Raw genomic sequence first — 26,824 nt, forward strand, 5'->3', positions numbered from 1 at the left:
AATGACGTCTCTCGGGTCAGCAAGGGCCACTTGGAATAGGAATATCACCCCTATCTGGAAGACCAGGTGGAGGCTTATCACCTTCACAGTAAGGTACTCACTGTCCACGTCAAGAGCCAAGCCAAGGTACTGTTCCTCCAATGAGTAAACAGCACTGCTGTAGGGCTGGCCTAAGTCAGGCAGTTCAAGATAACCTGAAGGAGTCGAATAACATCTATCCAGTGAGTCCTGCAAGACTTCAGGCTCTTTCTCATCCAGCAGCTCCCTGCTGAGCCTGGAAAAGTAGGAAAAAGTAAAGAATAAGCCAGGGGGAATCAGAAACCACACAGCCCCAGCTAGATTTCATGGCTAACATAAGGAACTGTTTAAAAAGAAAAAGGACAGATCCGTTAATGAGGTAATGAATTATTGCCTTTATGTTGGGATAGACCAGGGCCAGGTAGAAAAGAATGAAAGAGAAAGACAGGGAGAGGGAGAGAGAGAGAGAGGAGAAAGTGAGATCAGCGAATTGGCCGGGTGACACACTGATGAAGGGGTCAAAGGACACTCTGAGTTAGTGCCCTCGGGACACACAGCGAACAGTGATCATGAAAAGAGTGGGCTCAATAATTTTCCATAAACTTGCTCAAGATTCCATGCAGTTGCCATACAGCCTTTGACGTATGGTCAACCTATAGTAAGTGAGTAAATGATAAGGGGAGGAAGAAATGGAAACCTAAACATCTACTGCAATGAAAACCAACAGCAATGTCAGTAGGAGTAATTCAACCTTCGCTGAAAACATGAAATTGAACACACTCTTGTTTTCCCTGGACCTGGCATCTCCAGGTGTCAACACAGAATTAAGCATCCATAATTGCTCAAAGTTACCTGGGGCATGATGGGTCTTGGTCTTCTTCCACTTCTTGGTACTTTTCAATTTCTGCAATAAGTTCAGACATGGACAGACATATTAAGCTGGTTCTCCTACACACATAACAATCCACTGTCTAATCCTCACACAGGGACTTCAGGCTCCTCAGCATGAGAATAGGACACTGTGAGAGATAGTCTTCAGGAGGCCTGAAGGCTGATCACCATAGAGATTCCTTGGTTTTTGTCCCAGAAACTGTGGGTAAAATTCCCTATTCTGGTAGATCGTTATCCCAATATCATTTGTCCCAAGTTTGTGCAAATGGTTATGCCATATTTTTCCAATCGATTTAAAGCAAATGCCCCCAAATGGCTGCTAGGAGAAAAACTGCACTATTCAGCCCTGTCTCATCAAATACTCAGATTGTTCATGGTAGCGAGGATTGTAGACGCTGAAATTAGAGTGAAGGATGAAATCTACAAGATCTACAAAATTGAGACAAAATCAGAGTTGTGTGAATTTGTCACATCTGCCCAGATCCAACATCTTGAGAGTAGGATTAGGGCGCCACAGGCATGGCCTGAGACTAGGAAGAGAGCCTTGCTCACTGACCCATCCCTTGTCTGGGCTTCCAAGTGGAACTAGAGTTTCATTCAACCTACATATGCCTATAGGTCCTCCCTGTGGCAATGACATCTCTCAGCTCAGTAAGGGCCACTTGCAGTAGGAATATGACCCTAACCAGAAGACTCAGTGGATCCTTATCACCTTCATAGAAAGGTACTCACCATCCATGTCAACAGCCAAGCCAACACGCTGTTGCTCCAATACATAAAAGGCACTTCTGTAGGGCTGGCATGAGTCACACAGTTCAAGACAACCTGAAGGAGTTGAATAACATCTATCCAGTGAGTCCTGCAAGACTTCAGGCCCTTTCTCATCCAGCAGCTCCCTGCTGAGCCTGGAAAAGTGGGAAAAAGTAAAGAATAAGCCAGGGGGAATCAGAAACCACACAGCCCCAGCTAGATTTCATGGCTAACGTAAGGAAGAGTTTGAAAAGAAAAAGGACAGATCCATTAATGAGGTAACAAATTATTGCCTTTATGATGGGACAGAACAGGGCCAGGTAGAAAACAATGAAAGAGAAAGACAGACAGAGACAGAGACAGAGACAGAGACAGAGAGAAAGTGACCTAGTGAATTGGCCAGGTGACATACTGGTAAGGGAGTCAAAGGACACTCTGAGTTAGTGCCCTCATGACACACAGCAAACTGTGATCATGAAAAGAGTGAGCTCAATAGTTTTACATAAAATATGCTCAAAATTCGATGCAGTGGCCATGAGAGTACAGCTTTTGAAGTATGGTCAACCTATGGTACGTTAGGAAATGATAAGGGGAGGAAGAAATGGAAACCTAAACATCTACTGCAATGAAAACCAACAGCAATGACAGTAGGAGTAATTCAGCCTTCGTTGAAAACATGTCATCAAACACACTCTGGTTTCCCTGAATCTGTTGCCTCCAGGTGTTAACACAGAATTAAGCATCCACAATTGCTGAAAGTCACCTGGGGCATGGTGGGTTTTGATCTTCTTCCCCTTCTTTTCTTCCCCTTCTTCTTTCCTTCTTTGATCTTCTTCCCCTTCTTTTCTTCCCCTTCCCCTTCTTTTCAATTTCTGCAATAAATTCAGACATGGACAGACACATTAAGCTGATTCCCCTACACACATAACAATCCACTGTCTAATCCTCACACAGGGACCTCAGGCTCCTCAGCATAAGAATAGGACACTGTGAGAGATATATTTCAGGAGGCCTGAAGGCTGGTCATGATAGAAATTCCTCGGTTTTTCTCCCAGAAACTGTGGGTAAAATGTCCCTATTCTAGTAGATCGTTATCCCAATATCATTTGTCCCAAGTTTGTGCAAACAGTTACGCCATATTTTTCCAATCAACTTAAAGCAAATACCCTCAAATGATTTCTAGGAGAAAAACTGCAATATTTAGCCCTGTCTCATCAAATACTCAGATTGTTCATGGTTGTGAGGACTTTAGACACTGAAATTAGAGTGAAAAAGGAAATCTACAAACCCTTGAGTCAAAATCATAGTTCTCTGAATTTGTCACATCTGCCCAGGTCCAATGTCATGAGAATAGGATCAGGGCGCCACAGGTATGGCCTGAGACTAGGAAGAGAGTCTTGCTCACTGACCCATCCCTTGTCTGGGCTTCCAGGTAGAACTAGAGTTTCATTCAACCTACATGTGCCTATAGGTCCTCCCTGTGGCAATGACATCTCTCAGCTCAGTAATGGCCACTTGGAGCAGGAATATGATCTTTATATGGAAGACTCAGTGGATCCTTATCACCTTCATAGAAAGGTACTCACCTCCCACGTCAAGAGAAAAGCCAACATGTTTTTCCTCCAATGCATAAAAGGAACTTCCATAGGGCTGGCAGGAGTCAGGCTGTTCAAGACAACTGGAAGGAGTTGAATAACATCTATCCAGTGAGTCCTGCAAGACTTCAGGCTCTACTACCTCCAGCAGCTCCCTGCTGAGCCTGGAAAAGGAGGAAAAAGTAAAGAATAAGCCAGGGGAAATCAGACACAACAGAGCCCCAACTAGGTTTCATGGGTAGCATAGGGAAGTGGTTAAAAAACTAAAAGGATAGATCCATTAATGAGGTAACAAATTATTGCCTTCATGTTGGGACAGAACAGGGCCAAATGGAAAAGAATGAAAGAGAAAGACAGATAGACACACACACACACACACACACACACACAAACACACACACACACACAGAGAGAGAGAGAGAGAACGAGCTCAGTGAATTGTCCAGGTGACACACTGATGAGGGAGTAACAGGACACTCTGAGTTAGTGCCCTCAGGACACACAGCATACAGGGATCATGAAAAGACTGTGCTCAATAATTTTCCATAAAATGTGCTCAAGTTTCCATGCAGTCGCCATGAGAATACAGTTTTTGAAGTCTGGTCCACCTACAGTAGGTTAGTAAATGATAAGGGGAGGAAGAAATGGAAACCTAAATATCTACTGCAATGAAAACCAACAGCAATGTTAGTAGGAATAATTCAGGCTTGGTTGAAAAGATGTAATCGATAATGTCAGCCCGCTCTGTTTTCCCTGAACCAGGAGTCTCCAGATGTCAACACAGAAGTAGCTGTTCACAATTGCTCAGTTACCTGGGGCATGGTGGGCCTTGGTCTTCTTCCTCTTCTTGGTCCTTTTTAATTCCTGCAATACATTCAGACAGGGACAGACAAAATAAGCCAATTCACCTACACCCATAACAGTCCACTGTCTAATCCCCACACAGGGATCTCAGGCTCCTCAGCATGAGAACAGGACAATGTGAGAGATATACTTCAGGAGGCCTGAAAGCTGGTCATGATATTCTTTGGTTTACATCTCAGAACCAAGGGTGAAATATCCCCATTCTGGTAGATCGTTATCCCAAAATCATTTATCCCAAGTTTGTGCAAACAGTTATGCTTTATTGTTCCCATCAGTTCAAAGAAAATGCCCCAGATGATTTCCAGGAGGAAAACTAAAGTATTCAGCCCTGTCTCATCAAATGCCCAGCTCGTTCATGGATGCAAGAATTTTAGACACTGAAATTAGAATGAAGGAGGAAATCTACAAACCCTTGAGTCCAAATCATACTTCTGTGAATTTTTTACATCTGCCTGGGTCCAATGTGCTGAGAGCGGGCTCAGGTTGCCACAGGCATGGCTGGAGACTAGGAATAGAGCCTTGCTCACTGACCCATTTCATGTCTAGGCTTCCAACTGAGACTACAGTTTCATTACAACCTATATGCGCCCATAGGTCCTGCCTGCGGCAATGACGTCTCTCGGGTCAGTAAGGGGCACTTGGAACAGGAATATCACCCCTATCTGGAAGACCAGGTGGAGGCTTATCACCTTCACAGTAAGGTACTCACTGTCCACGTCAAGAGCCAAGCCAAGGTACTGTTCCTCCAATGAGTAAACAGCACTGCTGTAGGGCTGGCCTAAGTCAGGCAGTTCAAGATAACCTGAAGGAGTCGAATAACATCTATCCAGTGAGTCCTGCAAGACTTCAGGCTCTTTCTCATCCAGCAGCTCCCTGCTGAGCCTGGAAAAGTAGGAAAAAGTAAAGAATAAGTCAGGGGGAATCAGAAACCACACAGCCCCAGCTAGATTTCATGGCTAACATAAGGAACTGTTTAAAAAGAAAAAGGACAGATCCATTAATGAGGTAATGAATTATTGCCTTTATGTTGGGATAGACCAGGGCCAGGTAGAAAAGAATGAAAGAGAAAGACAGGGAGAGGGAGAGAGAGAGAGGGAGGAGAAAGTGAGCTCAGCGAATTGGCCGGGTGACACACTGATGAAGGGGTCAAAGGACACTCTGAGTTAGTGCCCTCGGGACACACAGCGAACAGTGATCATGAAAAGAGTGGGCTCAATAATTTTCCATAAACTTGCTCAAGATTCCATGCAGTTGCCATACAGCCTTTGAGGTATGGTCAACCTATAGTAAGTGAGTAAATGATAAGGGGAGGAAGAAATGGAAACCTAAACATCTACTGCAATGAAAACCAACAGCAATGTCAGTAGGAGTAATTCAACCTTCGTTGAAAACATGAAATTGAACACACTCTTGTTTTCCCTGGACCTGGCATCTCCAGGTGTCAACACAGAATTAAGCATCCATAATTGCTCAAAGTTACCTGGGGCATGATGGGTCTTGGTCTTCTTCCACTTCTTGGTACTTTTCAATTTCTGCAATAAGTTCAGACATGGACAGACATATTAAGCTGGTTCTCCTACACACATAACAATCCACTGTCTAATCCTCACACAGGGACTTCAGGCTCCTCAGCATGAGAATAGGACACTGTGAGAGATAGTCTTCAGGAGGCCTGAAGGCTGATCACCATAGAGATTCCTTGGTTTTTGTCCCAGAAACTGTGGGTAAAATTCCCTATTCTGGTAGATCGTTATCCCAATATCATTTGTCCCAAGTTTGTGCAAATGGTTATGCCATATTTTTCCAATCGATTTAAAGCAAATGCCCCCAAATGGTTGCTAGGAGAAAAACTGCACTATTCAGCCCTGTCTCATCAAATACTCAGATTGTTCATGGTAGTGAGGATTTGAGACGCTGAAATTAGAGTGAAGGATGAAATCTCCAAGATCTACAAAATTGAGACAAAATCAGAGTTGTGTGAATTTGTCACATCTGCCCAGATCCAACATCTTGAGAGTAGGATTAGGGCGCCACGGGCATGGCCTGAGACTAGGAAGAGAGCCTTGCTCACTGACCCATCCCTTGTCTGGGCTTCCAAGTGGAACTAGAGTTTCACTCAACCTACATGTGCCTATAGTTCCTCCCTGTGGCAATGACATCTCTCAGCTCAGTAAGGGCCACTTGCAGTAGGAATATGACCCTAACCAGAAGACTCAGTGGATCCTTATCACCTTCATAGAAAGGTACTCACCATCCATGTCAACAGCCAAGCCAACATGCTGTTGCTCCAATACATAAAAGGCACTTCTGTAGGGCTGGCATGAGTCAGTCAGTTCAAGATAACCTGAAGGAGTTGAATAACATCTATCCAGTGAGTCCTGCAAGACTTCAGGCCCTTTCTCATCCAGCAGCTCCCTGCTGAGCCTGGAAAAGTGGGAAAAAGTAAAGAATAAGCCAGGGGGAATCAGAAACCACACAGCCCCAGCTAGATTTCATGGCTAACGTAAGGAAGAGTTTGAAAAGAAAAAGGACAGATCCATTAATGAGGTAACAAATTATTGCCTTTATGTTGGGACAGAACAGGGCCAGGTAGAAAACAATGAAAGAGAAAGACAGACAGAGACAGAGACAGAGACAGAGAGAAAGTGACCTAGTGAATTGGCCAGGTGACATACTGGTAAGGGAGTCAAAGGACACTCTGAGTTAGTGCCCTCATGACACACAGCAAACTGTGATCATGAAAAGAGTGAGCTCAATAGTTTTCCATAAAATACGCTCAAAATTCGATGCAGTGGCCATGAGAGTACAGCTTTTGAAGTATGGTCAACCTATGGTACGTTAGGAAATGATAAGGGGAGGAAGAAATGGAAACCTAAACATCTACTGCAATGAAAACCAACAGCAATGACAGTAGGAGTAATTCAGCCTTCGCTGAAAACATGTCATCAAACACACTCTGGTTTCCCTGAATCTGTTGTCTCCAGGTGTTAACACAGAATTAAGCATCCACAATTGCTGAAAGTCACCTGGGGCATGGTGGGTTTTGATCTTCTTCCCCTTCTTTTCTTCCCCTTCTTCTTTCCTTCTTTGATCTTCTTCCCCTTCTTTTCTTCCCCTTCCCCTTCTTTTCAATTTCTGCAATAAATTCAGACATGGACAGACACATTAAGCTGATTCCCCTACACACATAACAATCCACTGTCTAATCCTCACACAGGGACCTCAGGCTCCTCAGCATAAGAATAGGACACTGTGAGAGATATATTTCAGGAGGCCTGAAGGCTGGTCATGATAGAAATTCCTCGGTTTTTCTCCCAGAAACTGTGGGTAAAATGTCCCTATTCTAGTAGATCGTTATCCCAATATCATTTGTCCCAAGTTTGTGCAAACAGTTATGCCATATTTTTCCAATCAACTTAAAGCAAATACCCTCAAATGATTTCTAGGAGAAAAACTGCAATATTTAGCCCTGTCTCATCAAATACTCAGATTGTTCATGGTTGTGAGGACTTTAGACACTGAAATTAGAGTGAAAAAGGAAATCTACAAACCCTTGAGTCAAAATCATAGTTCTCTGAATTTGTCACATCTGCCCAGGCCCAATGTCATGAGAATAGGATCAGGGCGCCACAGGTATGGCCTGAGACTAGGAAGAGAGTCTTGCTCACTGACCCATCCCTTGTCTGGGCTTCCAGGTAGAACTAGAGTTTCATTCAACCTACATGTGCCTATAGGTCCTCCCTGTGGCAATGACATCTCTCAGCTCAGTAATGGCCACTTGGAGCAGGAATATGATCTTTATATGGAAGACTCAGTGGATCCTTATCACCTTCATAGAAAGGTACTCACCTCCCACGTCAAGAGAAAAGCCAACATGTTTTTCCTCCAATGCATAAAAGGAACTTCCATAGGGCTGGCAGGAGTCAGGCTGTTCAAGACAACTGGAAGGAGTTGAATAACATCTATCCAGTGAGTCCTGCAAGACTTCAGGCTCTACTACCTCCAGCAGCTCCCTGCTGAGCCTGGAAAAGGAGGAAAAAGTAAAGAATAAGCCAGGGGAAATCAGACACAACAGAGCCCCAACTAGGTTTCATGGGTAGCATAGGGAAGTGGTTAAAAAACTAAAAGGATAGATCCATTAATGAGGTAACAAATTATTGCCTTCATGTTGGGACAGAACAGGGCCAAATGGAAAAGAATGAAAGAGAAAGACAGATAGACACACACACACACACACACACACACACACACACACACACACACACACACACACACACACACACAGAGAGAGAGAGAGAACGAGCTCAGTGAATTGTCCAGGTGACACACTGATGAGGGAGTAACAGGACACTCTGAGTTAGTGCCCTCAGGACACACAGCATACAGGGATCATGAAAAGACTGTGCTCAATAATTTTCCATAAAATGTGCTCAAGTTTCCATGCAGTCGCCATGAGAATACAGTTTTTGAAGTCTGGTCCACCTACAGTAGGTTAGTAAATGATAAGGGGAGGAAGAAATGGAAACCTAAATATCTACTGCAATGAAAACCAACAGCAATGTTAGTAGGAATAATTCAGGCTTGGTTGAAAAGATGTAATCGATAATGTCAGCCCGCACTGTTTTCCCTGAACCAGGAGTCTCCAGATGTCAACACAGAAGTAGCTGTTCACAATTGCTCAGTTACCTGGGGCATGGTGGGTCTTGGTCTTCTTCCTCTTCTTCGTCCTTTTTAATTCCTGCAATACATTCAGACAGGGACAGACAAAATAAGCCAATTCACCTACACCCATAACAGTCCACTGTCTAATCCCCACACAGGGATCTCAGGCTCCTCAGCATGAGAACAGGACAATGTGAGAGATATACTTCAGGAGGCCTGAAAGCTGGTCATGATATTCTTTGGTTTGCATCTCAGAACCAAGGGTGAAATATCCCCATTCTGGTAGATCGTTATCCCAAAATCATTTATCCCAAGTTTGTGCAAACAGTTATGCTTTATTGTTCCCATCAGTTCAAAGAAAATGCCCCAGATGATTTCCAGGAGGAAAACTAAAGTATTCAGCCCTGTCTCATCAAATGCCCAGCTCGTTCATGGATGCAAGAATTTTAGACACTGAAATTAGAATGAAGGAGGAAATCTACAAACCCTTCAGTCCAAATCATACTTCTGTGAATTTTTTACATCTGCCTGGGTCCAATGTGCTGAGAGCGGGCTCAGGTTGCCACAGGCATGGCTGGAGACTAGGAATAGAGCCTTGCTCACTGACCCATTTCATGTCTAGGCTTCCAACTGAGACTACAGTTTCATTACAACCTATATGCGCCCATAGGTCCTGCCTGCGGCAATGACGTCTCTCGGGTCAGTAAGGGGCACTTGGAACAGGAATATCACCCCTATCTGGAAGACCAGGTGGAGGCTTATCACCTTCACAGTAAGGTACTCACTGTCCACGTCAAGAGCCAAGCCAAGGTACTGTTCCTCCAATGAGTAAACAGCACTGCTGTAGGGCTGGCCTAAGTCAGGCAGTTCAAGATAACCTGAAGGAGTCGAATAACATCTATCCAGTGAGTCCTGCAAGACTTCAGGCTCTTTCTCATCCAGCAGCTCCCTGCTGAGCCTGGAAAAGTAGGAAAAAGTAAAGAATAAGTCAGGGGGAATCAGAAACCACACAGCCCCAGCTAGATTTCATGGCTAACATAAGGAACTGTTTAAAAAGAAAAAGGACAGATCCATTAATGAGGTAATGAATTATTGCCTTTATGTTGGGATAGACCAGGGCCAGGTAGAAAAGAATGAAAGAGAAAGACAGGGAGAGGGAGAGAGAGAGAGAGGAGAAAGTGAGCTCAGCGAATTGGCCGGGTGACACACTGATGAAGGGGTCAAAGGACACTCTGAGTTAGTGCCCTCGGGACACACAGCGAACAGTGATCATGAAAAGAGTGGGCTCAATAATTTTCCATAACCTTGCTCAAGATTCCATGCAGTTGCCATACAGCCTTTGAGGTATGGTCAACCTATAGTAAGTGAGTAAATGATAAGGGGAGGAAGAAATGGAAACCTAAACATCTACTGCAATGAAAACCAACAGCAATGTCAGTAGGAGTAATTCAACCTTCGTTGAAAACATGAAATTGAACACACTCTTGTTTTCCCTGGACCTGGCATCTCCAGGTGTCAACACAGAATTAAGCATCCATAATTGCTCAAAGTTACCTGGGGCATGATGGGTCTTGGTCTTCTTCCACTTCTTGGTACTTTTCAATTTCTGCAATAAGTTCAGACATGGACAGACATATTAAGCTGGTTCTCCTACACACATAACAATCCACTGTCTAATCCTCACACAGGGACTTCAGGCTCCTCAGCATGAGAATAGGACACTGTGAGAGATAGTCTTCAGGAGGCCTGAAGGCTGATCACCATAGAGATTCCTTGGTTTTTGTCCCAGAAACTGTGGGTAAAATTCCCTATTCTGGTAGATCGTTATCCCAATATCATTTGTCCCAAGTTTGTGCAAATGGTTATGCCATATTTTTCCAATCGATTTAAAGCAAATGCCCCCAAATGGCTGCTAGGAGAAAAACTGCACTATTCAGCCCTGTCTCATCAAATACTCAGATTGTTCATGGTAGTGAGGATTTGAGACGCTGAAATTAGAGTGAAGGATGAAATCGACAAGATCTACAAAATTGAGACAAAATCAGAGTTGTGTGAATTTGTCACATCTGCCCAGATCCAACATCTTGAGAGTAGGATTAGGGCGCCACGGGCATGGCCTGAGACTAGGAAGAGAGCCTTGCTCACTGACCCATCCCTTGTCTGGGCTTCCAAGTGGAACTAGAGTTTCACTCAACCTACATGTGCCTATAGTTCCTCCCTGTGGCAATGACATCTCTCAGCTCAGTAAGGGCCACTTGCAGTAGGAATATGACCCTAACCAGAAGACTCAGTGGATCCTTATCACCTTCATAGAAAGGTACTCACCATCCATGTCAACAGCCAAGCCAACATGCTGTTGCTCCAATACATAAAAGGCACTTCTGTAGGGCTGGCATGAGTCAGTCAGTTCAAGACAACCTGAAGGAGTTGAATAACATCTATCCAGTGAGTCCTGCAAGACTTCAGGCCCTTTCTCATCCAGCAGCTCCCTGCTGAGCCTGGAAAAGTGGGAAAAAGTAAAGAATAAGCCAGGGGGAATCAGAAACCACACAGCCCCAGCTAGATTTCATGGCTAACGTAAGGAAGAGTTTGAAAAGAAAAAGGACAGATCCATTAATGAGGTAACAAATTATTGCCTTTATGTTGGGACAGAACAGGGCCAGGTAGAAAACAATGAAAGAGAAAGACAGACAGAGACAGAGACAGAGACAGAGAGAAAGTGACCTAGTGAATTGGCCAGGTGACATACTGGTAAGGGAGTCAAAGGACACTCTGAGTTAGTGCCCTCATGACACACAGCAAACTGTGATCATGAAAAGAGTGAGCTCAATAGTTTTACATAAAATATGCTCAAAATTCGATGCAGTGGCCATGAGAGTACAGCTTTTGAAGTATGGTCAACCTATGGTACGTTAGGAAATGATAAGGGGAGGAAGAAATGGAAACCTAAACATCTACTGCAATGAAAACCAACAGCAATGACAGTAGGAGTAATTCAGCCTTCGCTGAAAACATGTCATCAAACACACTCTGGTTTCCCTGAATCTGTTGCCTCCAGGTGTTAACACAGAATTAAGCATCCACAATTGCTGAAAGTCACCTGGGGCATGGTGGGTTTTGATCTTCTTCCCCTTCTTTTCTTCCCCTTCTTCTTTCCTTCTTTGATCTTCTTCCCCTTCTTTTCTTCCCCTTCCCCTTCTTTTCAATTTCTGCAATAAATTCAGACATGGACAGACACATTAAGCTGATTCCCCTACACACATAACAATCCACTGTCTAATCCTCACACAGGGACCTCAGGCTCCTCAGCATAAGAATAGGACACTGTGAGAGATATATTTCAGGAGGCCTGAAGGCTGGTCATGATAGAAATTCCTCGGTTTTTCTCCCAGAAACTGTGGGTAAAATGTCCCTATTCTAGTAGATCGTTATCCCAATATCATTTGTCCCAAGTTTGTGCAAACAGTTACGCCATATTTTTCCAATCAACTTAAAGCAAATACCCTCAAATGATTTCTAGGAGAAAAACTGCAATATTTAGCCCTGTCTCATCAAATACTCAGATTGTTCATGGTTGTGAGGACTTTAGACACTGAAATTAGAGTGAAAAAGGAAATCTACAAACCCTTGAGTCAAAATCATAGTTCTCTGAATTTGTCACATCTGCCCAGGTCCAATGTCATGAGAATAGGATCAGGGCGCCACAGGTATGGCCTGAGACTAGGAAGAGAGTCTTGCTCACTGACCCATCCCTTGTCTGGGCTTCCAGGTAGAACTAGAGTTTCATTCAACCTACATGTGCCTATAGGTCCTCCCTGTGGCAATGACATCTCTCAGCTCAGTAATGGCCACTTGGAGCAGGAATATGATCTTTATATGGAAGACTCAGTGGATCCTTATCACCTTCATAGAAAGGTACTCACCTCCCACGTCAAGAGAAAAGCCAACATGTTTTTCCTCCAATGCATAAAAGGAACTTCCATAGGGCTGGCAGGAGTCAGGCTGTTCAAGACAACTGGAAGGAGTTGAATAACATCTATCCAGTGAGTCCTGCAAGACTTCAGGCTCTACTACCTCCAGCAGCTCCCTGCTGAGCCTGGAAAAGGAGGAAAAAGTAAAGAATAAGCCAGGGGAAATCAGACACAACAGAGCCCCAACTAGGTTTCATGGGTAGCATAGGGAAGTGGTTAAAAAACTAAAAGGATAGATCCATTAATGAGGTAACAAATTATTGCCTTCATGTTGGGACAGAACAGGGCCAAATGGAAAAGAATGAAAGAGAAAGACAGATAGACACACACACACACACACACACACACACACACACACACACACACACACACACACACAGAGAGAGAGAGAGAGAACGAGCTCAGTGAATTGTCCAGGTGACACACTGATGAGGGAGTAACAGGACACTCTGAGTTAGTGCCCTCAGGACACACAGCATACAGGGATCATGAAAAGACTGTGCTCAATAATTTTCCATAAAATGTGCTCAAGTTTCCATGCAGTCGCCATGAGAATACAGTTTTTGAAGTCTGGTCCACCTACAGTAGGTTAGTAAATGATAAGGGGAGGAAGAAATGGAAACCTAAATATCTACTGCAATGAAAACCAACAGCAATGTTAGTAGGAATAATTCAGGCTTGGTTGAAAAGATGTAATCGATAATGTCAGCCCGCACTGTTTTCCCTGAACCAGGAGTCTCCAGATGTCAACACAGAAGTAGCTGTTCACAATTGCTCAGTTACCTGGGGCATGGTGGGCCTTGGTCTTCTTCCTCTTCTTGGTCCTTTTTAATTCCTGCAATACATTCAGACAGGGACAGACAAAATAAGCCAATTCACCTACACCCATAACAGTCCACTGTCTAATCCCCACACAGGGATCTCAGGCTCCTCAGCATGAGAACAGGACAATGTGAGAGATATACTTCAGGAGGCCTGAAAGCTGGTCATGATATTCTTTGGTTTACATCTCAGAACCAAGGGTGAAATATCCCCATTCTGGTACATCGTTATCCCAAAATCATTTATCCCAAGTTTGTGCAAACAGTTATGCTTTATTGTTCCCATCAGTTCAAAGAAAATGCCCCAGATGATTTCCAGGAGGAAAACTAAAGTATTCAGCCCTGTCTCATCAAATGCCCAGCTCGTTCATGGATGCAAGAATTTTAGACACTGAAATTAGAATGAAGGAGGAAATCTACAAACCCTTGAGTCCAAATCATACTTCTGTGAATTTTTTACATCTGCCTGGGTCCAATGTGCTGAGAGCGGGCTCAGGTTGCCACAGGCATGGCTGGAGACTAGGAATAGAGCCTTGCTCACTGACCCATTTCATGTCTAGGCTTCCAACTGAGACTACAGTTTCATTACAACCTATATGCGCCCATAGGTCCTGCCTGCGGCAATGACGTCTCTCGGGTCAGTAAGGGGCACTTGGAACAGGAATATCACCCCTATCTGGAAGACCAGGTGGAGGCTTATCACCTTCACAGTAAGGTACTCACTGTCCACGTCAAGAGCCAAGCCAAGGTACTGTTCCTCCAATGAGTAAACAGCACTGCTGTAGGGCTGGCCTAAGTCAGGCAGTTCAAGATAACCTGAAGGAGTCGAATAACATCTATCCAGTGAGTCCTGCAAGACTTCAGGCTCTTTCTCATCCAGCAGCTCCCTGCTGAGCCTGGAAAAGTAGGAAAAAGTAAAGAATAAGTCAGGGGGAATCAGAAACCACACAGCCCCAGCTAGATTTCATGGCTAACATAAGGAACTGTTTAAAAAGAAAAAGGACAGATCCATTAATGAGGTAATGAATTATTGCCTTTATGTTGGGATAGACCAGGGCCAGGTAGAAAAGAATGAAAGAGAAAGACAGGGAGAGGGAGAGAGAGAGAGAGGAGAAAGTGAGCTCAGCGAATTGGCCGGGTGACACACTGATGAAGGGGTCAAAGGACACTCTGAGTTAGTGCCCTCGGGACACACAGCGAACAGTGATCATGAAAAGAGTGGGCTCAATAATTTTCCATAAACTTGCTCAAGATTCCATGCAGTTGCCATACAGCCTTTGAGGTATGGTCAACCTATAGTAAGTGAGTAAATGATAAGGGGAGGAAGAAATGGAAACCTAAACATCTACTGCAATGAAAACCAACAGCAATGTCAGTAGGAGTAATTCAACCTTCGTTGAAAACATGAAATTGAACACACTCTTGTTTTCCCTGGACCTGGCATCTCCAGGTGTCAACACAGAATTAAGCATCCATAATTGCTCAAAGTTACCTGGGGCATGATGGGTCTTGGTCTTCTTCCACTTCTTGGTACTTTTCAATTTCTGCAATAAGTTCAGACATGGACAGACATATTAAGCTGGTTCTCCTACACACATAACAATCCACTGTCTAATCCTCACACAGGGACTTCAGGCTCCTCAGCATGAGAATAGGACACTGTGAGAGATAGTCTTCAGGAGGCCTGAAGGCTGATCACCATAGAGATTCCTTGGTTTTTGTCCCAGAAACTGTGGGTAAAATTCCCTATTCTGGTAGATCGTTTTCCCAATATCATTTGTCCCAAGTTTGTGCAAATGGTTATGCCATATTTTTCCAATCGATTTAAAGCAAATGCCCCCAAATGGCTGCTAGGAGAAAAACTGCACTATTCAGCCCTGTCTCATCAAATACTCAGATTGTTCATGGTAGTGAGGATTTTAGACGCTGAAATTAGAGTGAAGGATGAAATCGACAAGATCTACAAAATTGAGACAAAATCAGAGTTGTGTGAATTTGTCACATCTGCCCAGATCCAACATCTTGAGAGTAGGATTAGGGCGCCACGGGCATGGCCTGAGACTAGGAAGAGAGCCTTGCTCACTGACCCATCCCTTGTCTGGGCTTCCAAGTGGAACTAGAGTTTCACTCAACCTACATGTGCCTATAGTTCCTCCCTGTGGCAATGACATCTCTCAGCTCAGTAAGGGCCACTTGCAGTAGGAATATGACCCTAACCAGAAGACTCAGTGGATCCTTATCACCTTCATAGAAAGGTACTCACCATCCATGTCAACAGCCAAGCCAACATGCTGTTGCTCCAATACATAAAAGGCACTTCTGTAGGGCTGGCATGAGTCAGTCAGTTCAAGACAACCTGAAGGAGTTGAATAACATCTATCCAGTGAGTCCTGCAAGACTTCAGGCCCTTTCTCATCCAGCAGCTCCCTGCTGAGCCTGGAAAAGTGGGAAAAAGTAAAGAATAAGCCAGGGGGAATCAGAAACCACACAGCCCCAGCTAGATTTCATGGCTAACGTAAGGAAGAGTTTGAAAAGAAAAAGGACAGATCCATTAATGAGGTAACAAATTATTGCCTTTATGTTGGGACAGAACAGGGCCAGGTAGAAAACAATGAAAGAGAAAGACAGACAGAGACAGAGACAGAGACAGAGACAGAGAGAAAGTGACCTAGTGAATTGGCCAGGTGACATACTGGTAAGGGAGTCAAAGGACACTCTGAGTTAGTGCCCTCATGACACACAGCAAACTGTGATCATGAAAAGAGTGAGCTCAATAGTTTTCCATAAAATACGCTCAAAATTCGATGCAGTGGCCATGAGAGTACAGCTTTTGAAGTATGGTCAACCTATGGTACGTTAGGAAATGATAAGGGGAGGAAGAAATGGAAACCTAAACATCTACTGCAATGAAAACCAACAGCAATGACAGTAGGAGTAATTCAGCCTTCGCTGAAAACATGTCATCAAACACACTCTGGTTTCCCTGAATCTGTTGCCTCCAGGTGTTAACACAGAATTAAGCATCCACAATTGCTGAAAGTCACCTGGGGCATGGTGGGTTTTGATCTTCTTCCCCTTCTTTTCTTCCCCTTCTTCTTTCCTTCTTTGATCTTCTTCCCCTTCTTTTCTTCCCCTTCCCCTTCTTTTCAATTTCTGCAATAAATTCAGACATGGACAGACACATTAAGCTGATTCCCCTACACACATAACAATCCACTGTCTAATCCTCACACAGGGACCTCAGGCTCCTCAGCATAAGAATAGGACACTGTGAGAGATATATTTCAGGAGGCCTGAAGGCTGGTCATGATAGAAATTCCTCGGTTTTTCTCCCAGAAACTGTGGGTAAAATGTCCCTATTCTAGTAGATCGTTATCCCAATATCATTTGTCCCAAGTTTGTGCAAACAGTTACGCCATATTTTTCCAATCAACTTAAAGCAAATACCCTCAAATGATTTCTAGGAGAAAAACTGCAATATTTAGCCCTGTCTCATCAAATACTCAGATTGTTCATGGTTGTGAGGACTTTAGACACTGAAATTAGAGTGAAAAAGGAAATCTACAAACCCTTGAGTCAAAATCATAGTTCTCTGAATTTGTCACATCTGCCCAGGTCCAATGTCATGAGAATAGGATCAGGGCGCCACAGGTATGGCCTGAGACTAGGAAGAGAGTCTTGCTCACTGACCCATCCCTTGTCTGGGCTTCCAGGTAGAACTAGAGTTTCATTCAACCTACATGTGCCTATAGGTCCTCCCTGTGGCAATGACATCTCTCAGCTCAGTAATGGCCACTTGGAGCAGGAATATGATCTTTATATGGAAGACTCAGTGGATCCTTATCACCTTCATAGAAAGGTACTCACCTCCCACGTCAAGAGAAAAGCCAACATGTTTTTCCTCCAATGCATAAAAGGAACTTCCATAGGGCTGGCAGGAGTCAGGCTGTTCAAGACAACTGGAAGGAGTTGAATAACATCTATCCAGTGAGTCCTGCAAGACTTCAGGCTCTACTACCTCCAGCAGCTCCCTGCTGAGCCTGGAAAAGGAGGAAAAAGTAAAGAATAAGCCAGGGGAAATCAGACACAACAGAGCCCCAACTAGGTTTCATGGGTAGCATAGGGAAGTGGTTAAAAAACTAAAAGGATAGATCCATTAATGAGGTAACAAATTATTGCCTTCATGTTGGGACAGAACAGGGCCAAATGGAAAAGAATGAAAGAGAAAGACAGATAGACACACACACACACACACACACACACACACACACACACACACACACACACAGAGAGAGAGAGAGAGAACGAGCTCAGTGAATTGTCCAGGTGACACACTGATGAGGGAGTAACAGGACACTCTGAGTTAGTGCCCTCAGGACACACAGCATACAGGGATCATGAAAAGACTGTGCTCAATAATTTTCCATAAAACGTGCTCAAGTTTCCATGCAGTCGCCATGAGAATAGTTTTTGAAGTCTGGTCCACCTACAGTAGGATAGTAAATGATAAGGGGAGGAAGAAATGGAAACCTAAATATCTACTGCAATGAAAACCAACAGCAATGTTAGTAGGAATAATTCAGGCTTGGTTGAAAAGATGTAATCGATAATGTCAGCCCGCACTGTTTTCCCTGAACCAGGAGTCTCCAGATGTCAACACAGAAGTAGCTGTTCACAATTGCTCAGTTACCTGGGGCATGGTGGGCCTTGGTCTTCTTCCTCTTCTTGGTCCTTTTTAATTCCTGCAATACATTCAGACAGGGACAGACAAAATAAGCCAATTCACCTACACCCATAACAGTCCACTGTCTAATCCCCACACAGGGATCTCAGGCTCCTCAGCATGAGAACAGGACAATGTGAGAGATATACTTCAGGAGGCCTGAAAGCTGGTCATGATATTCTTTGGTTTACATCTCAGAACCAAGGGTGAAATATCCCCATTCTGGTACATCGTTATCCCAAAATCATTTATCCCAAGTTTGTGCAAACAGTTATGCTTTATTGTTCACATCAGTTCAAAGAAAATGCCCCAGATGATTTCCAGGAGGAAAACTAAAGTATTCAGCCCTGTCTCATCAAATGCCCAGCTCGTTCATGGATGCAAGAATTTTAGACACTGAAATTAGAATGAAGGAGGAAATCTACAAACCTTCAGTCCAAATCATACTTCTGTGAATTTTTTACATCTGCCTGGGTCCAATGTGCTGAGAGCGGGCTCAGGTTGCCACAGGCATGGCTGGAGACTAGGAATAGAGCCTTGCTCACTGACCCATTTCATGTCTAGGCTTCCAACTGAGACTACAGTTTCATTACAACCTATATGCGCCCATAGGTCCTGCCTGCGGCAATGACGTCTCTCGGGTCAGTAAGGGGCACTTGGAACAGGAATATCACCCCTATCTGGAAGACCAGGTGGAGGCTTATCACCTTCACAGTAAGGTACTCACTGTCCACGTCAAGAGCCAAGCCAAGGTACTGTTCCTCCAATGAGTAAACAGCACTGCTGTAGGGCTGGCCTAAGTCAGGCAGTTCAAGATAACCTGAAGGAGTCGAATAACATCTATCCAGTGAGTCCTGCAAGACTTCAGGCTCTTTCTCATCCAGCAGCTCCCTGCTGAGCCTGGAAAAGTAGGAAAAAGTAAAGAATAAGTCAGGGGGAATCAGAAACCACACAGCCCCAGCTAGATTTCATGGCTAACATAAGGAACTGTTTAAAAAGAAAAAGGACAGATCCATTAATGAGGTAATGAATTATTGCCTTTATGTTGGGATAGACCAGGGCCAGGTAGAAAAGAATGAAAGAGAAAGACAGGGAGAAGGAGAGAGAGAGAGAGGAGAAAGTGAGCTCAGCGAATTGGCCGGGTGACACACTGATGAAGGGGTCAAAGGACACTCTGAGTTAGTGCCCTCGGGACACACAGCGAACAGTGATCATGAAAAGAGTGGGCTCAATAATTTTCCATAAACTTGCTCAAGATTCCATGCAGTTGCCATACAGCCTTTGAGGTATGGTCAACCTATAGTAAGTGAGTAAATGATAAGGGGAGGAAGAAATGGAAACCTAAACATCTACTGCAATGAAAACCAACAGCAATGTCAGTAGGAGTAATTCAACCTTCGTTGAAAACATGAAATTGAACACACTCTTGTTTTCCCTGGACCTGGCATCTCCAGGTGTCAACACAGAATTAAGCATCCATAATTGCTCAAAGTTACCTGGGGCATGATGGGTCTTGGTCTTCTTCCACTTCTTGGTACTTTTCAATTTCTGCAATAAGTTCAGACATGGACAGACATATTAAGCTGGTTCTCCTACACACATAACAATCCACTGTCTAATCCTCACACAGGGACTTCAGGCTCCTCAGCATGAGAATAGGACACTGTGAGAGATAGTCTTCAGGAGGCCTGAAGGCTGATCACCATAGAGATTCCTTGGTTTTTGTCCCAGAAACTGTGGGTAAAATTCCCTATTCTGGTAGATCGTTATCCCAATATCATTTGTCCCAAGTTTGTGGAAATGGTTATGCCATATTTTTCCAATCGATTTAAAGCAAATGCCCCCAAATGGCTGCTAGGAGAAAAACTGCACTATTCAGCCCTGTCTCATCAAATACTCAGATTGTTCATGGTAGTGAGGATTTGAGACGCTGAAATTAGAGTGAAGGATGAAATCGACAAGATCTACAAAATTGAGACAAAATCAGAGTTGTGTGAATTTGTCACATCTGCCCAGATCCAACATCTTGAGAGTAGGATTAGGGCGCCACGGGCATGGCCTGAGACTAGGAAGAGAGCCTTGCTCACTGACCCATCCCTTGTCTGGGCTTCCAAGTGGAACTAGAGTTTCACTCAACCTACATGTGCCTATAGTTCCTCCCTGTGGCAATGACATCTCTCAGCTCAGTAAGGGCCACTTGCAGTAGGAATATGACCCTAACCAGAAGACTCAGTGGATCCTTATCACCTTCATAGAAAGGTACTCACCATCCATGTCAACAGCCAAGCCAACATGCTGTTGCTCCAATACATAAAAGGCACTTCTGTAGGGCTGGCATGAGTCAGTCAGTTCAAGACAACCTGAAGGAGTTGAATAACATCTATCCAGTGAGTCCTGCAAGACTTCAGGCCCTTTCTCATCCAGCAGCTCCCTGCTGAGCCTGGAAAAGTGGGAAAAAGTAAAGAATAAGCCAGGGGGAATCAGAAACCACACAGCCCCAGCTAGATTTCATGGCTAACGTAAGGAAGAGTTTGAAAAGAAAAAGGACAGATCCATTAATGAGGTAACAAATTATTGCCTTTATGTTGGGACAGAACAGGGCCAGGTAGAAAACAATGAAAGAGAAAGACAGACAGAGACAGAGACAGAGACAGAGAGAAAGTGACCTAGTGAATTGGCCAGGTGACATACTGGTAAGGGAGTCAAAGGACACTCTGAGTTAGTGCCCTCATGACACACAGCAAACTGTGATCATGAAAAGAGTGAGCTCAATAGTTTTCCATAAAATATGCTCAAAATTCGATGCAGTGGCCATGAGAGTACAGCTTTTGAAGTATGGTCAACCTATGGTACGTTAGGAAATGATAAGGGGAGGAAGAAATGGAAACCTAAACATCTACTGCAATGAAAACCAACAGCAATGACAGTAGGAGTAATTCAGCCTTCGCTGAAAACATGTCATCAAACACACTCTGGTTTCCCTGAATCTGTTGCCTCCAGGTGTTAACACAGAATTAAGCATCCACAATTGCTGAAAGTCACCTGGGGCATGGTGGGTTTTGATCTTCTTCCCCTTCTTTTCTTCCCCTTCTTCTTTCCTTCTTTGATCTTCTTCCCCTTCTTTTCTTCCCCTTCCCCTTCTTTTCAATTTCTGCAATAAATTCAGACATGGACAGACACATTAAGCTGATTCCCCTACACACATAACAATCCACTGTCTAATCCTCACACAGGGACCTCAGGCTCCTCAGCATAAGAATAGGACACTGTGAGAGATATATTTCAGGAGGCCTGAAGGCTGGTCATGATAGAAATTCCTCGGTTTTTCTCCCAGAAACTGTGGGTAAAATGTCCCTATTCTAGTAGATCGTTATCCCAATATCATTTGTCCCAAGTTTGTGCAAACAGTTACGCCATATTTTTCCAATCAACTTAAAGCAAATACCCTCAAATGATTTCTAGGAGAAAAACTGCAATATTTAGCCCTGTCTCATCAAATACTCAGATTGTTCATGGTTGTGAGGACTTTAGACACTGAAATTAGAGTGAAAAAGGAAATCTACAAACCCTTGAGTCAAAATCATAGTTCTCTGAATTTGTCACATCTGCCCAGGTCCAATGTCATGAGAATAGGATCAGGGCGCCACAGGTATGGCCTGAGACTAGGAAGAGAGTCTTGCTCACTGACCCATCCCTTGTCTGGGCTTCCAGGTAGAACTAGAGTTTCATTCAACCTACATGTGCCTATAGGTCCTCCCTGTGGCAATGACATCTCTCAGCTCAGTAATGGCCACTTGGAGCAGGAATATGATCTTTATATGGAAGACTCAGTGGATCCTTATCACCTTCATAGAAAGGTACTCACCTCCCACGTCAAGAGAAAAGCCAACATGTTTTTCCTCCAATGCATAAAAGGAACTTCCATAGGGCTGGCAGGAGTCAGGCTGTTCAAGACAACTGGAAGGAGTTGAATAACATCTATCCAGTGAGTCCTGCAAGACTTCAGGCTCTACTACCTCCAGCAGCTCCCTGCTGAGCCTGGAAAAGGAGGAAAAAGTAAAGAATAAGCCAGGGGAAATCAGACACAACAGAGCCCCAACTAGGTTTCATGGGTAGCATAGGGAAGTGGTTAAAAAACTAAAAGGATAGATCCATTAATGAGGTAACAAATTATTGCCTTCATGTTGGGACAGAACAGGGCCAAATGGAAAAGAATGAAAGAGAAAGACAGATAGACACACACACACACACACACACACACACACACACACACACACACAGAGAGAGAGAGAGAGAACGAGCTCAGTGAATTGTCCAGGTGACGCACTGATGAGGGAGTAACAGGACACTCTGAGTTAGTGCCCTCAGGACACACAGCATACAGGGATCATGAAAAGACTGTGCTCAATAATTTTCCATAAAATGTGCTCAAGTTTCCATGCAGTCGCCATGAGAATACAGTTTTTGAAGTCTGGTCCACCTACAGTAGGTTAGTAAATGATAAGGGGAGGAAGAAATGGAAACCTAAATATCTACTGCAATGAAAACCAACAGCAATGTTAGTAGGAATAATTCAGGCTTGGTTGAAAAGATGTAATCGATAATGTCAGCCCGCACTGTTTTCCCTGAACCAGGAGTCTCCAGATGTCAACACAGAAGTAGCTGTTCACAATTGCTCAGTTACCTGGGGCATGGTGGGTCTTGGTCTTCTTCCTCTTCTTGGTCCTTTTTAATTCCTGCAATACATTCAGACAGGGACAGACAAAATAAGCCAATTCACCTACACCCATAACAGTCCACTGTCTAATCCCCACACAGGGATCTCAGGCTCCTCAGCATGAGAACAGGACAATGTGAGAGATATACTTCAGGAGGCCTGAAAGCTGCTCATGATATTCTTTGGTTTACATCTCAGAACCAAGGGTGAAATATCCCCATTCTGGTACATCGTTATCCCAAAATCATTTATCCCAAGTTTGTGCAAACAGTTATGCTTTATTGTTCCCATCAGTTCAAAGAAAATGCCCCAGATGATTTCCAGGAGGAAAACTAAAGTATTCAGCCCTGTCTCATCAAATGCCCAGCTCGTTCATGGATGCAAGAATTTTAGACACTGAAATTAGAATGAAGGAGGAAATCTACAAACCCTTGAGTCCAAATCATACTTCTGTGAATTTTTTACATCTGCCTGGGTCCAATGTGCTGAGAGCGGGCTCAGGTTGCCACAGGCATGGCTGGAGACTAGGAATAGAGCCTTGCTCACTGACCCATTTCATGTCTAGGCTTCCAACTGAGACTACAGTTTCATTACAACCTATATGCGCCCATAGGTCCTGCCTGCGGCAATGACGTCTCTCGGGTCAGTAAGGGGCACTTGGAACAGGAATATCACCCCTATCTGGAAGACCAGGTGGAGGCTTATCACCTTCACAGTAAGGTACTCACTGTCCACGTCAAGAGCCAAGCCAAGGTACTGTTCCTCCAATGAGTAAACAGCACTGCTGTAGGGCTGGCCTAAGTCAGGCAGTTCAAGATAACCTGAAGGAGTCGAATAACATCTATCCAGTGAGTCCTGCAAGACTTCAGGCTCTTTCTCATCCAGCAGCTCCCTGCTGAGCCTGGAAAAGTAGGAAAAAGTAAAGAATAAGTCAGGGGGAATCAGAAACCACACAGCCCCAGCTAGATTTCATGGCTAACATAAGGAACTGTTTAAAAAGAAAAAGGACAGATCCATTAATGAGGTAATGAATTATTGCCTTTATGTTGGGATAGACCAGGGCCAGGTAGAAAAGAATGAAAGAGAAAGACAGGGAGAGGGAGAGAGAGAGAGAGGAGAAAGTGAGCTCAGCGAATTGGCCGGGTGACACACTGATGAAGGGGTCAAAGGACACTCTGAGTTAGTGCCCTCGGGACACACAGCGAACAGTGATCATGAAAAGAGTGGGCTCAATAATTTTCCATAACCTTGCTCAAGATTCCATGCAGTTGCCATACAGCCTTTGAGGTATGGTCAACCTATAGTAAGTGAGTAAATGATAAGGGGAGGAAGAAATGGAAACCTAAACATCTACTGCAATGAAAACCAACAGCAATGTCAGTAGGAGTAATTCAACCTTCGTTGAAAATATGAAATTGAACACACTCTTGTTTTCCCTGGACCTGGCATCTCCAGGTGTCAACACAGAATTAAGCATCCATAATTGCTCAAAGTTACCTGGGGCATGATGGGTCTTGGTCTTCTTCCACTTCTTGGTACTTTTCAATTTCTGCAATAAGTTCAGACATGGACAGACATATTAAGCTGGTTCTCCTACACACATAACAATCCACTGTCTAATCCTCACACAGGGACTTCAGGCTCCTCAGCATGAGAATAGGACACTGTGAGAGATAGTCTTCAGGAGGCCTGAAGGCTGATCACCATAGAGATTCCTTGGTTTTTGTCCCAGAAACTGTGGGTAAAATTCCCTATTCTGGTAGATCGTTATCCCAATATCATTTGTCCCAAGTTTGTGCAAATGGTTATGCCATATTTTTCCAATCGATTTAAAGCAAATGCCCCCAAATGGCTGCTAGGAGAAAAACTGCACTATTCAGCCCTGTCACATCAAATACTCAGATTGTTCATGGTAGTGAGGATTTTAGACGCTGAAATTAGAGTGAAGGATGAAATCTACAAGATCTACAAAATTGAGACAAAATCAGAGTTGTGTGAATTTGTCACATCTGCCCAGATCCAACATCTTGAGAGTAGGATTAGGGCGCCACGGGCATGGCCTGAGACTAGGAAGAGAGCCTTGCTCACTGACCCATCCCTTGTCTGGGCTTCCAAGTGGAACTAGAGTTTCACTCAACCTACATGTGCCTATAGTTCCTCCCTGTGGCAATGACATCTCTCAGCTCAGTAAGGGCCACTTGCAGTAGGAATATGACCCTAACCAGAAGACTCAGTGGATCCTTATCACCTTCATAGAAAGGTACTCACCATCCATGTCAACAGCCAAGCCAACATGCTGTTGCTCCAATACATAAAAGGCACTTCTGTAGGGCTGGCATGAGTCAGTCAGTTCAAGACAACCTGAAGGAGTTGAATAACATCTATCCAGTGAGTCCTGCAAGACTTCAGGCCCTTTCTCATCCAGCAGCTCCCTGCTGAGCCTGGAAAAGTGGGAAAAAGTAAAGAATAAGCCAGGGGGAATCAGAAACCACACAGCCCCAGCTAGATTTCATGGCTAACGTAAGGAAGAGTTTGAAAAGAAAAAGGACAGATCCATTAATGAGGTAACAAATTATTGCCTTTATGTTGGGACAGAACAGGGCCAGGTAGAAAACAATGAAAGAGAAAGACAGACAGAGACAGAGACAGAGACAGAGAGAAAGTGACCTAGTGAATTGGCCAGGTGACATACTGGTAAGGGAGTCAAAGGACACTCTGAGTTAGTGCCCTCATGACACACAGCAAACTGTGATCATGAAAAGAGTGAGCTCAATAGTTTTACATAAAATATGCTCAAAATTCGATGCAGTGGCCATGAGAGTACAGCTTTTGAAGTATGGTCAACCTATGGTACGTTAGGAAATGATAAGGGGAGGAAGAAATGGAAACCTAAACATCTACTGCAATGAAAACCAACAGCAATGACAGTAGGAGTAATTCAGCCTTCGCTGAAAACATGTCATCAAACACACTCTGGTTTCCCTGAATCTGTTGCCTCCAGGTGTTAACACAGAATTAAGCATCCACAATTGCTGAAAGTCACCTGGGGCATGGTGGGTTTTGATCTTCTTCCCCTTCTTTTCTTCCCCTTCTTCTTTCCTTCTTTGATCTTCTTCCCCTTCTTTTCTTCCCCTTCCCCTTCTTTTCAATTTCTGCAATAAATTCAGACATGGACAGACACATTAAGCTGATTCCCCTACACACATAACAATCCACTGTCTAATCCTCACACAGGGACCTCAGGCTCCTCAGCATAAGAATAGGACACTGTGAGAGATATATTTCAGGAGGCCTGAAGGCTGGTCATGATAGAAATTCCTCGGTTTTTCTCCCAGAAACTGTGGGTAAAATGTCCCTATTCTAGTAGATCGTTATCCCAATATCATTTGTCCCAAGTTTGTGCAAACAGTTACGCCATATTTTTCCAATCAACTTAAAGCAAATACCCTCAAATGATTTCTAGGAGAAAAACTGCAATATTTAGCCCTGTCTCATCAAATACTCAGATTGTTCATGGTTGTGAGGACTTTAGACACTGAAATTAGAGTGAAAAAGGAAATCTACAAACCCTTGAGTCAAAATCATAGTTCTCTGAATTTGTCACATCTGCCCAGGTCCAATGTCATGAGAATAGGATCAGGGCGCCACAGGTATGGCCTGAGACTAGGAAGAGAGTCTTGCTCACTGACCCATCCCTTGTCTGGGCTTCCAGGTAGAACTAGAGTTTCATTCAACCTACATGTGCCTATAGGTCCTCCCTGTGGCAATGACATCTCTCAGCTCAGTAATGGCCACTTGGAGCAGGAATATGA

The 26,824-nt window shown here is 44.0% G+C and overlaps 1 protein-coding gene across 2 annotated transcripts in view; it reads right to left on the minus strand.

Annotated features, from left to right (window-relative positions):
- Positions 1-26,824, minus strand: part of NBPF10 (NBPF member 10) — an 80,106-nt gene that overhangs the window by 3,203 nt on the left and 50,079 nt on the right. The window contains exons 55-88 of one of the 2 annotated variants that reach the window (NM_001302371.3): positions 26,056-26,164; positions 25,281-25,453; positions 24,510-24,561; positions 23,741-23,913; positions 22,980-23,031; positions 22,161-22,333; positions 21,338-21,446; positions 20,563-20,735; positions 19,792-19,843; positions 19,023-19,195; positions 18,263-18,314; positions 17,440-17,612; positions 16,617-16,725; positions 15,836-16,008; positions 15,065-15,116; positions 14,296-14,468; positions 13,535-13,586; positions 12,704-12,876; positions 11,881-11,989; positions 11,106-11,278; positions 10,335-10,386; positions 9,566-9,738; positions 8,805-8,856; positions 7,968-8,140; positions 7,145-7,253; positions 6,370-6,542; positions 5,599-5,650; positions 4,828-5,000; positions 4,067-4,118; positions 3,246-3,418; positions 2,423-2,531; positions 1,642-1,814; positions 871-922; positions 102-274 (exon numbers count right to left, since the gene is read on the minus strand). In NM_001302371.3, coding sequence (NP_001289300.1) covers positions 102-274; positions 871-922; positions 1,642-1,814; positions 2,423-2,531; positions 3,246-3,418; positions 4,067-4,118; positions 4,828-5,000; positions 5,599-5,650; positions 6,370-6,542; positions 7,145-7,253; positions 7,968-8,140; positions 8,805-8,856; positions 9,566-9,738; positions 10,335-10,386; positions 11,106-11,278; positions 11,881-11,989; positions 12,704-12,876; positions 13,535-13,586; positions 14,296-14,468; positions 15,065-15,116; positions 15,836-16,008; positions 16,617-16,725; positions 17,440-17,612; positions 18,263-18,314; positions 19,023-19,195; positions 19,792-19,843; positions 20,563-20,735; positions 21,338-21,446; positions 22,161-22,333; positions 22,980-23,031; positions 23,741-23,913; positions 24,510-24,561; positions 25,281-25,453; positions 26,056-26,164 — 4,167 coding nt within the window. The remainder of the gene's footprint in view (positions 1-101; positions 275-870; positions 923-1,641; positions 1,815-2,422; positions 2,532-3,245; positions 3,419-4,066; positions 4,119-4,827; positions 5,001-5,598; positions 5,651-6,369; positions 6,543-7,144; positions 7,254-7,967; positions 8,141-8,804; positions 8,857-9,565; positions 9,739-10,334; positions 10,387-11,105; positions 11,279-11,880; positions 11,990-12,703; positions 12,877-13,534; positions 13,587-14,295; positions 14,469-15,064; positions 15,117-15,835; positions 16,009-16,616; positions 16,726-17,439; positions 17,613-18,262; positions 18,315-19,022; positions 19,196-19,791; positions 19,844-20,562; positions 20,736-21,337; positions 21,447-22,160; positions 22,334-22,979; positions 23,032-23,740; positions 23,914-24,509; positions 24,562-25,280; positions 25,454-26,055; positions 26,165-26,824) is intronic. The other variant, NM_001039703.6, reaches the window with a different exon arrangement.

Source organism: Homo sapiens, chromosome 1, assembly GCF_000001405.40.
Source record: "Homo sapiens chromosome 1, GRCh38.p14 Primary Assembly".
Classification (NCBI taxonomy): domain Eukaryota; kingdom Metazoa; phylum Chordata; class Mammalia; order Primates; family Hominidae; genus Homo; species Homo sapiens.